The sequence below is a fragment of the Homo sapiens genome, chromosome 17 (assembly GCF_000001405.40).
Source record: "Homo sapiens chromosome 17, GRCh38.p14 Primary Assembly".
Taxonomy (NCBI): domain Eukaryota; kingdom Metazoa; phylum Chordata; class Mammalia; order Primates; family Hominidae; genus Homo; species Homo sapiens.
The window spans coordinates 57,597,222-57,612,466 of record NC_000017.11 but is presented as its reverse complement, the minus strand read 5'-3'; the positions used below and the strand labels follow the sequence as shown (position 1 = coordinate 57,612,466).

Genomic DNA, 15,245 nt, shown 5'->3' with positions numbered 1-15,245 from the left:
AACAGCAGGGAACCTGGCCTGCCTGCCCTGAAGGCCTCTTGAAAGACTTCTCAGGACCAGGAAGCCTGTCCAGTCCCCTCCACCCCCGAGACTCAGCCACTTAATTCAATGACGCAGATGCGGAGGAACTCAACACGCCAGGCAAGTGCTAGGCTTTGGGGACCCAAAGATAAATAAGGAAAGCCTCCACCTCTCTGAGAGCTCTCATTGTATTGAAAAAGAAGAGGCTCTGACTGTCTTGTTCTCCTAAGATGAATGCAAGTACTCACACATCAACCTGCCCCTCGCTGCTTCTGCACTTGTTAGCCTCTCGAGCGTCTTGAGTTAGCCCACATCGGGTCACCTTCCCCTGCTGTCCTCCCCCAGGCCCTGCATAAGCCAGAGAGCTTGGCATGAACAACCCGGGTGACAGTCAGAACCCAAAAAGGGTAAAAAGTGGTCTATCTTTTCGGTTCTAGTCATGTACTTAGGCTATCTGGTCACATGCTCTGTTCCAGGTATCTACTGCTGAGCAACAAACTGCCCCCAAACTTAGTGGCTTTGAGCAACAATTTAATCATCCTTCCTCAGGGTTCTGTGGGGTGACCGGCTCAGCTGGGCTCTTGCTGGTGGTCTCATGGCGCTGTGGTCAGGTGGTGACTGGGGCTGAGGCCAGAGGAGGCCTCAACGAGGCTGGAGGCCCAAGATGGCTCCTCGCTCACATGGCAGGCAGCCACACTGGTTTGGCTGGGCCTGCTGATGGGGCGTCCACCATGGCTTCTCCATGGCGCCTGGTCTTGTCACAATATGGTGGCTAAGTCCCAAGAGGAAGTGTCCCAAGCACAAGCATTCCAACAGACTCAGGCAGAAGCTGCAAGGCTTCTTCTAACCTAGCCTTGGGACTCACAGTGTTCCCTCCCACACATTCTACTGGTGACACTGGGCCAGCCTAGAGTCCGTGTGGGAGGGGGCTCTAGGGATAATCTTTGGAGACCAACAACCACATGTGGTCGGTGAAGGGCAGTGAGCTGACAGGGCAGCAGGAGGCACTCCTCACACTCTGGCTTTTGGCTGGCTGGGTCCTTGGAGCAGTGGGCACCTAGGGCTGCTCTCACCACAGGGCAGAGGGCAGGGCACGGGGGCTCCCTTCCCACTGTAGCCCCACACAGGCCTGCCTGGCTCCCCATGGTCCTCTAAAACAAAACAAATGTGGTGCTCATGGGGACCAGGCCTCTTGCTGCAGGTATTTTGGCCCCACCTCCTAAGACTTCCCCTTGAGGAAGGCCCACCTCCCAGTCTCAGTCCTTGAGTCTCCTGCACCAACGGCTTCTCACAGTGGCTGCTGCTACTGCTGCTACTGTTTCAAATAGCAACTGACCAGAGCAGTCTATTCAAGGGGCAAGAAATGCAGTGAGATGTTCCATCTGACTGAGCACTTGTAAGAAGCCTCAGAGGCCACTGATGACCAACTGCTTATACCAGAAGGACCAGGTCTCTGTTTTCAAGGTGCACAGCTGGCAATGCCACAAAACACTCCCAATACCAGGGATGTGCCAACACCCCCCACCCCAACAAAATTGATGGGATTTGTTCTGAAATTTTCTTCTCCCAATATGCTGCTTTGTTCGACAAACTGGCCTTAGAAGAGAGGGTGTGGCTTCCTCATAGTCCCCATGGTAATGGGTTCAGAATAATGACCTAGCCCCTGGACACCTAGCCCCTGGACACCTAGGGCAGCAGCATGTTCCTTTAGAGAACAAAACGAAGGCCTGATGGGAGTGTGGCCCCTGTGGTCGCTAACACTCTTGTCCTTGCTGCCCACTGGGTTGGGTGCCTCCTCCCATCAGCATCCACAGCAACTCAGCAAGGAGGTTTGCAGTTTCTAACTCCTTACTCAGGAATCATTTCAAATTTACAGAAAAGTTGCAAGGAGAGTATCCTTTACCAGAATTCACCTACTGCTAACATTTTGTTACTTTTGCCTTATCATTTGCACACACTCCTGAGCCCTCTATATGTAGAATTTTTTTTTTTTTTAGACGGAGTCTTGCTGTGTCGCTCAGGCTGGAGTGCAGTGGCGTGACCTCAGCTCACTGCAACCTCCGCCTCCCGGGTTCAAGTGATTCTCCTGCCTCAGTCTCCCGAGTAGCTGGGACTATAGGTGCACGCCACCACGCCCTGCTAATTTTTGTATTTTTAGTAGAGACAGGGGTTTCACCACATTGGCCAGGCTGGTCTCGAACTCCTGACCTCGTGATCTTCCCGCCTCAGCCTCCCGAAGTGCTGGGATTACAGACGTGAGCCACTGCACCTGGCCAGGATTTTTTTTTCCATTTGAGAGTAAGTTGGTATGCGTTTCATAAACATGAGGGCATTTTCTTACGTAATCATAGCACAGTTATCAGTCTCAGTACGTTTAACATTAATGCAATACTTTACCTTCCATACGCTTGTTTTGCCAGCGGACCCGATAATGACCTTTATAGCTATATATCCATCCCACGGAGCAGGAAACTGAGGCTCAGACTCAGACATCTAACCTGTGGTCCAGACCCAGTACCTGTGTGCAGGGCTGGGATGTTAATCCCGATCTGCCTATAGCCCCAGCCCAAGCCAGGAGAGTGGGTGCTGTGGCCCTGCGTTACACCCTCTCCCTAGCGGGGAATGCTTAGCACTGGCTTTCAGAGGAGGTGCTGGAGCTTCTGCAAGAACAGCTTCCCTGCAGCTACTATGAGTGGCCACTCCTCCCCAGTGGATCCGAAGCCCTTGCAAAGGTAAGCTCACTGCCCTGGCATCTTTGGGGATGGTGGCTGGCAGTCTGAGGAGTATGCCAAGCTTTGGGAAGTAAAGGGCTTTTGTTTTTCCCTGGTCTCTGTACAAAAGAACCCAGTCAGCACGCGGCCTTGGGGCCCAGAGGGAAATCCAAGCCCTGGACCTGTGGCCTTGATGTACCATCCAGGACAAGGAAAGCCTGTTTGGCCTGAAGAGGCCAGTGTTTGCAGTTTCATTTCTCACTCCAAACAGGTCGTGTCTGAGACTGTTTAGTCCTCCAGAGGGAGAGGCCTATTTCGATGGATAAAATTCCCCAGTGCTCAGGTATCAACCTTGACCGTCTGACTGTCTGGCTAACAGAAAGGGGAGGGGAGCAGAGGGAGGAAAGGGCTCAGGAGGAGAGGAGGTCCTGCAGCTTCTAGGGTGGGTATCTGTCCTTCTGTGGCGTTTCCTAACAGACATAAGAGGCCTGACCTGGTCTTGCGCCTGATCAGCTTGACCTCTTCCCCAGCCAGGTTCTGGTGGGTTTGAGGCCAACATTGTTTCTCTGAAGATCCTCACCTCCGGACATTAGGCCCTGAGCCCTGCCCAGGGAGATGGTGAAGAGGAGGGGAGATGCTACTCAAGTGTAAAGTGTCTTGCCTAGAGCCTGACAGCTACACACATCTTGCTACTGAGGCAGGAGGGGTGAGCTTGGCCTCCAGAGACCACATGTCACACATACCTCCCTGCACAGCCCTCCTTTGCCATCCAGTGGCCACAGCCTTTTTTCTTCCTGGTCACTGCTCTCCTGCCCCCTCTGCCAATCACAAGCCTTTCTGGAGACCCCACAAAAAGCAGGACATTTTGTAAGGCTCTTGCAGGTTTATAATCAAGATTCGGGGAGACCCACCCTCAAGGAACTTGCAAAGCAAGGAAGATAAACACAAAACAAGCCCTTGATCAGAGTTCAACTCCTACTGTGTACCTGCACGGCACCTGGCCCTGAGTCAGCCTCACAGCAGAACGAACAGGGCCCATGACAAAAAGACGACAAGGGGTCCTTTGACCAACAATGACTAGGATTTGCAAGACGGCAACAAAGAGCAGAGCATTAGACCAGCGTGGGGGGCCTCTGAGGACAGGGCCAAGCGACGGCTCAGGCCTTACACCCAGGAAGCTGGCACTGCTGAGAGAGAGCTGTTGAATGTGTTGGAGAAAGAGGCTATGATGTAACAAGGAGAGGGGGTGGAACCCACCTAGGGGAGGTGAAGTGGCCCGGGGAGGGAAACGCAGGAACCTCGGCTGCCCTCCATGTGCAGCTCCCACTTGAGATGGGCATGTCACCATCACTCCTGCGTGAGCTTCAGAGAGCCAGGTCACCTCTACTCAGTTCTAACATCTGCTCCAGGGTTTCAATTCCATCCTGTTGCTCTTCTTGCCCAGGGCCAGAGGCCAAGATGGATTCCTGACTAGCGTGAGTATGTGGCCAGGTGAGGGCAAGGCCTTAAGAAGCCAGTAAGGGGCTAGGGGGTTGGTGAGGCAGCAATTGCACCCCTGTAAATCCTGGCAGCTGTGCTGGGAAGCCCTGGTCCTTCAATCTGGCAGGGGAAGGGTCCCTAACCACTCTGCAGTCCTTTTCCCTCACTGGTACAAGCCCTTCTGCTCCTTTGCAAACTCAGGTAGTCATATAGTTTGGATATTTGTCTCCGCCCAAATCTCATGTTGAAATGTACTCCCCAGTGTTGGAGGTGGGGCCTGGTGGGAAGCCTCTGATTCATGGGGGTGGATCCCTTGTGAATGGTTTGGGCCACCTGCTTGGTGATGAGTGAGCTCTTACTCGGAGTTGCTTAAAAATGTGTGGCACCTCCCTGCACTCTCTCGCTTGCTTGCACCTGCTTTCACCAAGCGACGTGCCTGTTCCTACTTTGCCTTCCTCCGTGAGTAAAAGCTCCCTGAGGCCCCACCCCAGAAGCCTAGCGATGTTGGCACCATGCCTGTACAACCCGCTGAACTGTAAGCCAACTAAACTTCTTTTTTAAATAAATTACCCAGTCTCAGGTATTTCTTTATAGCAACGCGAGAACGGCCTAACACAGACAGGCTTCCCAGCTGGTCACTGTGGATACTGGAAAGTGAGCGGAAGAGACCCTCCCTCCTCCCTTCTCAGACATCATAATCAGGCACTGTCCTTGTGGACAGGGACCAGCGTGTGGCCAAGCACCAGGGGACCTACTTGTAAATGATAACTTTCCTTGTTCTACTGCAAAAAGGTCCTCATGGATGTGGGACCTGCCCATGCAGTCTACAGAGGAAGGGGTTACTGTGCAAACAGAAATGGAGCTGCCAGCTTCCATAGGGAAAGGCAGGCAGCAGGAATGTCTACCTTCCAGGACACATGCATGTTATAAATGGCCCAGACCTGTTTGCAAAAGGCATTGAGAGACCTGTTAGATTTATAATCTTGACTCAGGAGGGTTACTCTGGGGAGGAAGGCACGCACTGTTTATTGAGTGCTATCCATAACTAGGCACAGCCACAACATCCTTGTAATTTTCATATATTACATAACATATACACATAATGGATATAAAGCACAGTGCCTGGCACACAGAAGTCCTCAAAGAATGTCCATGGTTGTCAACTCCCTCATTGCATGGAGCCTCATTTCCTCTGTGCGATGGCCTTACCCGCCTCGTAGTTACAGCAGAAAAGGACACAGAAGTTCTAAGGAATGACTTGCCCAAGGTCACAAAGCACAGTCAGAATCCAATCATAGACCCCCAGCTTCAAAACCCCTGCTCCCTCCTCTGGGTCTCTGGCTGCCAGCCACCCCCCCCCATCACCCCACCTCACACAGCCCTTCCCCACACTCTCCACCCAACCCTCAAGGCCTATCTGCGTCTAGTTCACAAAGCCTTTCCCGATGCTAGCTTCCACAACTGATCTCCTTACCACTTCCAGAATTAATTTCATCCATTGTTTCCTCTGCTCAGTGTTTTATTACAATCAGTGATGGCAAAGTAAAATAGGTCATAAACCAAAAATAAACATTAAGCATCTACTATTTACCAAGCAGCGGCTGGGTGTGGACACAGAAATGAATGTGGCTGAGATGTGGCTCTTCCCTCAGAGGTCCTCAGAATCTGGGCAATGGGTAGAGAGGAGCTGGTCCCCAATATCACCTGAGATGTACCCCAATAACTGCAGCCCCCACCCTGCCCAGATCTGAGAGTGGGTGCCTCCTAGTCTGTTATACGGCAGTCTAGCCTAGGGCTAAGGCTCCTGGCTTTAAATCTCTGTTCCACTTGCCGGCTCTCTGAGCTGAGACCAGCTGACTAACTTCTTTGCACCTCAATTTTCTCATCTCTAAAACAGTGACAGCTGTGCCTACCCCATAGGGCTCTCGGAGCTAATCCTACAAAGTGCTTGCACTGGATAAAGTTGGTTGAGTCACACCTTGCCCTCTCCACATGGAGCCTAGGTGAGTGCCTTTGAAGGTGATGAAGTCAGGTCACATCTGTGTTCACTGAAATCCCAGAATGGGGAGTGAAGAGGAAGAGAGAGAGCAGCAGCCTCCCCAGCACAGCAGATTCTTAGCACACAGTCATTGCCTTTCTCCCTAACCCTCCCTGCACCTGTCGGCCAGGTAGGTCCCATCTCCCTGCTTTCATCAGCAGGATGTGCAAAGAGAGCTTCCCAGGCCGCACTATTTGGGGAAAAAGCTGATGGTGGCAGCAGCAGCTGTCCTCCTTTTCATTTCTGGGAACCTGCAAGGGCATTTCAAAGTGGAAAGAAACCTCAGCCTCCAGCAGGTGCTCAGGTTCCGCCACAAGGCTGGAGGAGTGCTTACCCCAGGGCACGGTGGGCTGGGCCAGAGGCCCTGCGTGGGGCCTAACTTCATTTATTTAAAAGAGGGAGAAAATAAAAGGTATGGCTTGAGCCTTCTTTTCTAGGCAGAGGCAGCTGAAAGAAGAGGGCAAAGGAAGAACCAGGGACAGAACTCCCAGGCCCTGGGGAAACTAGAGTGAAACTAGAAGAGAAATTGGCAAGAGTCCAGGCAAGAGCCACGCTACTCTGGGCTTGGTCTCTGCAGCTGCATACGGGCGCAGACTGTTCATGCCCTGCCTTCTGCGCGGGGAAGAGGCAGAAGAGAAGGGGGGGCAGCCCCTCCTAGTGGTCTCCATGCTCCCCTCTCATGACCCTGCGCCCTGGGGGTGGAGTACGGGGACGCTGGTGGCAGCACGTTCAGAAAAGCCCAGAGGCACTGGGTGCTGAGATACTGAGGAGACAGACCACTGCCCTCCCTGGCCCTGCCTACACTGACATCGCCAGAGGACAGATGAAGGGCAAGCGAACCACTCAGGCAACTGGGAGGCCACTCCCTGCAGGCCAAATTACTTCTGCCTAAAGAGCAACAAACATTTACCACCGAACCACCCGGCCTCCCCCAACACACTAATCACTCTGCTCTCATTAACACAGCCTGTACACAAACAGCATGTGCACGCGCTTGCGTGTGTGATGCGTGGGGGGCAGGATCTCTCCCTCTCCCACGTAAACACCAGATTCATTTATTAAATGCCTCTCTGGCATTTCCTTTTTTGCCTTCATCCTGCTTGTTTAATATTGCATTTGACATTCTCATTTTATAAATGGCAACAGAAGCAGAATGGATGGCTAAAATTAGCTTACGAGTGAGAATGATGCTACAAATAGGATTGTGAATACAGAAGCCTAGTTAATTCCACCCACATTACCCGCCCCCCTCCCCACACACAAATACACCCACCACTTTTGGGCTGGTTCCCGACTGAGTTGTCTTCAGGGCTGAGGAGGAGCAGCTGGAAGGAGTGGGGGGGTGAGCCAATCACTGGGCACCTTGCCAGGTGGCAGGGCCCAGAAGCCGACCCTAGCCTGCGGCTGGCCTCCATGGATGGGCTGGTCACAGCACCGCAGCCCTGAGTCCAAGAGGACAGCTCAGGACCCTCCTCCCTTCTTATCCTTCTGCCCTTCCTTCCCCAGAATCCCCTGTTCCGAGTCAATCCCCCAGGTATGCCCTGGGCTGAAGGGTAGCAGGCCTAAGATCTCAGTAGGCTTTGCTCTTAGAAGTGGATTTTTCTGGAACCTTCTTAAAGAATGAGTCAGGTGAAGAGTGGGACTCAGCTTTTCCAGGACCTAGACAATCACATCTCTTGGTTCCTCCTGCTTTGGGAGGTGCACCACCTCCTTTCCTAGGACCATCCCCAGAGGCACTGAGAGTGCCCACCTCATACTCTCCATCCCTGCCCCGCAGGCTCGGGACCCAGTCCTGCCCAGGTCCCGCACCACTTGCATTTTACTGACTTATAATCTGCTGAGGACCTCCTTACCTGCTAACTCTTTATTTGCTCAGTAAAATAATTCTAAGAATGATGACAATGACGACAGTGGTGAAAAAATCTATCACTCTGATAGAGAGCGTGCCATGGCCTGGCTCTGTTCCAAACCCCTTACAAGTCTTAAGTCACAGCACTCTCCGAGGTAGGCACTACCACAACCTGTTTTATAGAAAGGGGAACCACAGAGCCGAAACACAGAAGTAACTTGCCCAAGGCCACAAAGCTGGGAAGTGGAAGGGGGTTCAGCACTGAGGACTTGAGGCACCCTCTACCAGGAAGGCCGCCCTGGTTGACAGCACCCTGTTCTGACCATTGTGTCACTCCCCACCTGGGGGCTCCCCCAAAGAATGAAGGCACTGATACTTTCCACAGGCTGCTATCCCCAAACTCGTGTGCCTGTTTGGGGCACCCCCTTTCTACTCTGCCCCTAATAATGTGTGCTCAATAGTGAAACTGGCTGACCATTTGGCTAAATGCCTTTCATTGGACCCCTGTAGACAAGGAGCACCCTGACTGGGCCTGCTCTGAGCTAGATTAGTTTAGTCCAGGAGTCAACAAACTGTGGCCAGCAGGCCAAACCCAGCTGCCATGAGTTTTTGCAAATAAGCTTTATTTGAACACAGCCACGCCCCTTCATTTATATATTGCCTGGACTGTGTTTGTGCTACAATGGCAGGGCTGAGTAGATGTGACAGAGACTCTCTGGCCCGTTACAGAAAATTTGCTGGCCCCTGGCTTAGGCCCAGTGGGGGAAACGTGAAGTTATCAAGGGCTGATTCCTTCAAGGCTACCCAATTACATACCCTACAACAGAACAGGCCGAGACCTCCAGGTATCAAAGCAGAGCTTTATATAAGCTGCAAAAGGCAGCCATCCTCAACCTTCTGATTTCCCACAGGAGCAAACTGGTGCAGACAGGTAGGGCACTCGCCTGTGGTTACAGAATCACCAGCGGTGGACCTGGGATTCAGGCTCAGGTTCCAAGGCTCTCTTGGTGCCTCTAAGTGACCCAGCAGGTCCCGACTTGGGGACAAGGACACGTGCACCTCACTCAGGAGAATCGAGCCCTTTACCCCAAGAGATGCATGCCTCACGTGTCTTCTGCAAGCAATGCTCCAAGGCCTGCACCCAGAGGGGTAGGGCATGGTGAGGGGCGGGAGCAGTCTCTGGCACTGAGAGCTTCCTCTGGGAGATCTTCGGAAATCTGGTCTCTGTTTGACCATAGAGGGAGTATGGAGTGGTGCCAAGAGCACCAGACTGGCCTGGAGGTCCAGGTGCCAGGCCTGGTTTGGCCCCATTTGGCCTGGCTCCGTGCTCCCTTCATTCCCAAGTCCCTTCCTTCTGATGATGATGGCTGGGCAATTTATGACCCACAAGTCCCACATTATCTGTCATTAGCAGTGGCCCTTGCCTGGTGCTTCTCAGACTTTAATGTGCACGCCAATCACTGGGGATTTGTCAGCATGCAGATTCTGACTCTGTAGGTCTAGGGTGGGTCCTGGGACTCTGCATTCCTAACCAGCTCCTAGGGGCTGCCAAGGCTGCTGGTACATGGACCACACTTTGATTACCAGCATCCAGACCTCTCATTCCAAGACAAGGGACAACCAAAGTAGCTGTACCCATGAGTTACTTAGCAAATTTCTGTAAATCCTATCACCTTAAAGGAGTAAGAAAAAGGACTATTTAAAGCAGGGGTGTAGCCAGGTGTAGTGGCTGATGCCTGTAATCCCAGCACTTTTGGAGGCAGAGGCAAGGGGATCACTTGAGACCAGGAGTTCTAGACCACCTGGCCAACATGGTGAAACACTCTCTCTACTAAAAACACACAAAAAATTAGCTGGGCGTGGTGGCGCATGCCTATAATCCCAGCTACTCGGGAGGCCGAGGCACGAGAATCACTCAGACCTGGGAGGCAGAGGTTGTGGTAAGCCGAGATCGTGCCACTGCACTCCAGCCTGGGTGACAGAATGAGACCCTGTCTCCAAAAACAAAACAAAACAAAACAAACAAAAAACAAAAAACAGAAAGCAGGGGTGTCCAATCTTTTGGCTTCCTTGGGCCACACCGGAAGAACTGTCTTCAGCCGCACATAAAATACACTAACACTAAAGATAGCTGATGAGCTTTAAAAAAAAAAATTAAAAAAAAAATCTCATAATGTTCTAAGAAAGTTTATGAATTTGCATTGGGCTACATTCAAAGCCATCCTGGGCCGCATATGGCCCGTGGGTCATGGGTTGGACAAAGTTGATTTAAAGTAATCCTGCAGTAGTATTGTATGAAGCAAATAAAAACTCTTCTTGATATTCACTCATCATATAAATCCATATTTTTCAAATACTAGGTTTGCCTAAATGGGCAGCAAGGTATAATGAGAAGAACAGAGGGTTCGGAACCAGAATGACACAGGTTCAAATCCCAGCTCTATCCCTTAGAACTGTCCCACCAAGGAAGATCCACTGCTGCTGAGCTCTAGTGAACCCCTCTGTAAAATGAGATGAGGACTCCTGCTCAGGATGTTGTGAGGACAAAAGGAGACAGCACGCACGTAAAGCACAGTCCCAGTGCCTATAAGCACCGATTCCTTTCTGGTGAATCAGGCGTGAGGAAAGGCTCTACCCGAGATGCCCTCGTCCCAGGCACCTTTCAGGCTGTACCCACGCTCTCACCCAATGAGGGTGGTGATGGCTCCCCAACATCATTTCAAGCTCTAGGCTGTACTAGGCCTCTGCGGATGCCTGGAGGTGGCTCTTGTCAATTCTCACCTCCCTTCCTGCTGCTGCCCGGCTCGTCAGGAGGCCGCTTGAAGGCTGGGCTGTGGTGACTCATCAAGCAAGTGTCCCTGCTGCTCAGGGGCTGCTTCAATCAGGGGGACGCCACGGGAGGCATTATTAGCTGCACCCGCACTGGGGCACACAGAGTGGCCAGGGAGGATCCCCTCTCTGGTGGGTCACGAGGCAGCTCTGTGCATGCATTTGTGTGTGTTTATTGATAAAGAGCCACATTTGCATTTTGCTCTGGCTTGGAGAGCTTGTGGGTTTGGCCCTGAGCTTGGGTGGCAGTCAGCTCCTGACCCATGCTCGTCACTTATCTGTGTCTGTGGCAGTGGAGGAAGAGGCATGGAGATCTGGGACCTGTTAAACCCAAGCGTGGTCCTTCTCCCTAGCTGGGAATCTGGCCTGTCTCCTCTGCTCTTCTCCTAGGAGAACATGGAACCACATGGGCCACGACATAGCTGACTGGGAAAGGGTGGTCAGTGATGGAGGGCCTGCAGCCCAGCTACATAACCCTGAAAGCCCCTTTTGGCCTGAAGGGGACACACAGTCTGATGGGTACAGATGTGAGCTCTGGAGTATAGCTTTCTGGGCTCGAATTCTGGGGCTGCCATTTGCTGACCATGTGACCTTGGGCAAACTGCTTAACCTCTCTCTGCCTTGCCTTGCCAATCTGTAAGTGGGGATAATGATTAAAGAGTAAGTGAAAATCAAATGAAATAAGATGCATGATGCATAAAGTGTTTAGTAGAGTATGTAGTTTGTACCACCCAATGTCAGCTATTAGTGGGATCTTTATGTGTGAAAGGGTGTCATGTGGGGTCTTTCTGGGCATCCTCCTGCCTGGAGATAACCTCCTTAAGGCAGGGCCTACATGGAGAATGAAGGAAGGATTCCTGTGATCCCCACTTCCCAAAGACAGCTATCCTGGTCCCCTGTGAGTAGAATGACTCACGCCTTCTCCTGGCCCTTCTGCATGGTAGAGAAGGAACTCCATTTTAAAAAATGCCCAGGAAGAGACTCCCCGACCCAATTAGATGGGCAATGGCTTTAGGAATTATAATGTGCCTCACAGACATGTGGTCCTTCAGTGAATCCTTTATTTAGTCCACAATTATTTATACAGGGTCTCCTAAGTGCCAGGCACATGAGATTGAACCAGAAGACCTAGATTCAAGTACTATGTCTGTGACTAATCTGCAGTAAGACCTTTCCCATCTGTGAATATAAAAAAATCATGGCTCCAGTATGTACCAGGGGGTGCAGCTATCTGCCACTTCCTGCCAAATACCCAGAAAGATTGCGAGGGTTTGAGGAGATGGGTCTGTGGTTTCACAGCACAGTCCTGTTTATGAAACACTCCTATGCACATTCTAACAATCATCCATGTTCTTGTTTGGCAGTCTCTGAGTTTTCAGTTTTTCCAGATATCTCATTTGAATTCTGTCCATAGCCCAGTTTAAACTCATTTCCTTTTCTTTGGGCCTCAGAAGTAGAAACCAGTATCACAAAAACCAAAACAATTCAGGATGCAGGCTTCTCTACCAACACCCTTTAAATTCCACCCTTCTTCAGAGGAGGGGAATTGGCTGGAGAAATCTCTCTCAATGACAACTCGTGGATGATGGCAAGGATAATGGCAAGAGATAACACAGATCAAGCTTGCACCCTGTGCAGACACTGTGCTAAGTAAGCCCTTTGCTCCTGGTATGTCACCCAGTCTCTAACAACCCAATGAGGCAGTATCATTACCAGCCCTGTCTTACTGGAGCTCAGCAAGGCCCAGTGTTCTTCTCCAAAGTCCTCTCCCAGGGCCTCTAAACTCCCCACCTTGGAGCTCATAACTGTTGGGCTGTGCTGGGAACGTGGACCAACACCTCCAAAGCCTGTCATCCGAATCAATCTGCCCCCACTTCTTCCTCTTGTCTACTTCCATCTTTGCTCATTCTCTTGAAGAACAAGTACTAGCCCCAGATTCAAAGGCAAACACAAACCCTTACACTAAAAACCCGGTTACGTGCACCTGACATAGTCACCCTCCACCTGGGTGGGAGAGAAGGCGATAAATATGAAACAGGAAAATGGCTGCAAATCTCTCTGGCTTCAAGCCAGCCCCATGGGTTCTTCTTCTGGGGCAGAAGCTCTACTTCCTGATTGCTGCCCGGGTTATCTGGGGATTCACCCTCCCACCCCCAAGCTCCAACAACTGTCTATATAGTTCCTTTGGCACCAGTAAGCTCAAGACCTATGCTCCTTCGCTCTCTGGATAGCCTGGGACCTATCCCCTGAGCCTCAGTTTCCCAGGATAAAGCCTTTCCCCATCTGTGTCTCGGGTTTGTTTCAAAGCCTGTCAACAGGGAAGGGCTACACATATGCATTCAAGGTGACAAATGGAGCAATGTCCTTCCGGTCTACATCTGGCCTTTCCTGATGAACCCTTAAGGCTTGGCAAGACAGGAATGGCATCTGCCAGTACTCTCTTCTATTCCCCACTGCCCAGCAGCCTTAGTGGAGCCTGTCAATGGCGTGCTCTGGCTAGGATAAACAAGGCATCTGGGCAGTGGATGCAAGTTTCATTTAAGTCCTCTCTCTCTCTTTTTAAAAATAGCTAGTACTGGTCGGGCACAGTGGCTCATGCCTGTAATCCCAGCACTTTGGGAGGCCGAGGCAGGTGGATCACTTGACGTCAGGAGTTTGAGATCAGCCTGGCCAACATGGTGAAACCCCGTCTCTACTAAAAATACAAAAATTAGCTGGGTGTGCTGGCACATGCCTGTAGTCCCAGCTACTTGGGAGGCTGAGGCAGGAGAATTGCTTGAGCCCGGGAGGCGGAGGTTGCAGTGAGCCGAGATCGTGCCACTGCATTCCAGCCAGGGCAACAAAGCAAGACTCTGTCTCAATTAAAAAAAAAAAATAGCAAGTAGTAACCTACCAAGAGAAAAGTACCAACTGTAAACTTGCACGGACATCTGGGGAGCTGAGAAAGCCTATGAGGGGACCTGTGTTATTCTGTCACACTTATCTCCCTCCTACCATTTTAATGTCTGAGTTGATGCCTCCAACATACAGTACGCAAAAAAAGAGTATTTTCATTTCAGATGCATATGATGGCAAGGAACAATACGAACAATATTATTTTAGTGCCCTGGGAAAAAATTAGCAAGTCAAATATTGAATCAGGCCTGTAGCGCCACATGCTAAGCAGATTGCTTTGATCTTATCCACACTAAAAGCTCTATTATTGAATTTAAAGTTGGTGAACACATATCAGACCAATATACAATGCATGTCTGAACGCATGTTTTAGAAGCAAGAAATGTTTTGACAAAAGGAAGAAAATATTAAAGTTACAGCTGCAATTGAAACACAGATTTGCCCTCCCTCTTCTCTTGAGGCTGGAGGCTCTCGTGGCCAACCAAAATGTTTTTGCTCCAAAGGACTGGTTCCAGAAACACCTGCTGAGCTTCTATTTTTCTGGAACCAACAAAGAAGGGAATTCTCACCCTCCTACTCAATCCGAAGAAAGGAGTTTGTGAGTGTGCAAATGCTATGCATGATATGGCACCCTCTGGTGGCCACTGATCTGGGAGGCCTACACGACTTCCCAAACTTCCAGTAATCCAACCTCCCTTCCTCTTGAGGCTGCTGTGGCAGAAAAAGGAACTTTAAAGAGCCAAAGAGAGGGAAGGAAGCAGCTGATCAAGAGGGCAGAAATTAATTGATGGCAAGGGAGGGAATGTTAATTTTCCAGCAGGACCCAAAGAGAAAAATAGTTTGGTGCAGTAAACTTCCTATCTAGGATATACCTCTCAAAAGCTGCACAGCAAAAGAATATCCTAAGCCAGGTGCCAGCAAGTTACGACTCATAGGTCAAATCCCGCCCTTCTGCCTGTTTATGTAAAGTCCAAGAATTGAGAACGGCTTTTACATTTTATTTTATTTTTATTTTTTTTGAGACAGGGTTTCACTTTGTTGCCCAGGCTGGAGTACAGTGGTGTGATCATGGCTCACTGCAGCCTCAACCTCCTGGGGTCAGGTGATCCTCTCACCTCGAGTAGGTGGGGTACAGGTGCACTGCACCCAGCTAATTTTTTTTTTTTTTTTTTTTTTTTAAGAGATGAGGTCTGGCTATGTTTCCCAGGCTCGTCTCGAACTCCTGGCCTCAAGTGATTTTCCTGCCTTGGCCTTCTAAAGTGCAGAGGTTATAGGCGTGAGCCATCATGCTTGGCCTGGTTTTTACATTTTAAGTGGTTAAAAAATTAATATTTTGTGATCTGTGAAAATTACATAAGGTTCAAATTTTGGTGTCCATAAACAAAGCTTTATTGAAACACAGCCCCACTGCTTTATGTATGCA

The 15,245-nt window shown here is 50.6% G+C and overlaps 1 protein-coding gene and 1 long non-coding RNA gene across 13 annotated transcripts in view, besides 5 other annotated features; one reads left to right on the top strand and one right to left on the bottom strand.

The window, feature by feature from the left end:
* Positions 1 to 15,245, bottom strand: part of MSI2 (musashi RNA binding protein 2) — a 445,731-nt gene that overhangs the window by 89,115 nt on the left and 341,371 nt on the right. The gene's annotated exons all lie outside the window — the stretch shown is intronic.
* Positions 3,359 to 3,951: an enhancer, noted in NCBI's record as "NANOG-H3K27ac-H3K4me1 hESC enhancer chr17:55685877-55686469 (GRCh37/hg19 assembly coordinates)". NCBI's record gives its function as "activates a minimal SCP1, AML or CMV promoter by ChIP-STARR-seq in naive and primed H9 embryonic stem cells {active_cell/tissue: H9 hESC(naive and primed)}" and the evidence as "EXISTENCE:reporter gene assay evidence [ECO:0000049][PMID:30033119]".
* Positions 3,952 to 4,546: an enhancer, noted in NCBI's record as "NANOG-H3K27ac-H3K4me1 hESC enhancer chr17:55685282-55685876 (GRCh37/hg19 assembly coordinates)". NCBI's record gives its function as "activates a minimal SCP1, AML or CMV promoter by ChIP-STARR-seq in primed H9 embryonic stem cells {active_cell/tissue: H9 hESC(primed)}" and the evidence as "EXISTENCE:reporter gene assay evidence [ECO:0000049][PMID:30033119]".
* On the top strand, positions 4,055 to 11,603 carry MSI2-AS1 (MSI2 antisense RNA 1). Its single transcript, NR_110807.1, has 3 exons — positions 4,055 to 4,207; positions 6,109 to 6,214; positions 10,459 to 11,603. It is a non-coding gene; the product is annotated as an MSI2 antisense RNA 1 (long non-coding RNA).
* Positions 6,079 to 6,328: an enhancer, noted in NCBI's record as "active region_12444". NCBI's record gives its function as "activates an Ori minimal core promoter by ATAC-STARR-seq in GM12878 lymphoblastoid cells {active_cell/tissue: GM12878}" and the evidence as "EXISTENCE:reporter gene assay evidence [ECO:0000049][PMID:35858748]".
* Positions 6,358 to 7,253: an enhancer, noted in NCBI's record as "H3K4me1 hESC enhancer chr17:55682575-55683470 (GRCh37/hg19 assembly coordinates)". NCBI's record gives its function as "activates a minimal SCP1, AML or CMV promoter by ChIP-STARR-seq in primed H9 embryonic stem cells {active_cell/tissue: H9 hESC(primed)}" and the evidence as "EXISTENCE:reporter gene assay evidence [ECO:0000049][PMID:30033119]".
* Positions 8,908 to 9,407: an enhancer, noted in NCBI's record as "H3K27ac hESC enhancer chr17:55680421-55680920 (GRCh37/hg19 assembly coordinates)". NCBI's record gives its function as "activates a minimal SCP1, AML or CMV promoter by ChIP-STARR-seq in naive H9 embryonic stem cells {active_cell/tissue: H9 hESC(naive)}" and the evidence as "EXISTENCE:reporter gene assay evidence [ECO:0000049][PMID:30033119]".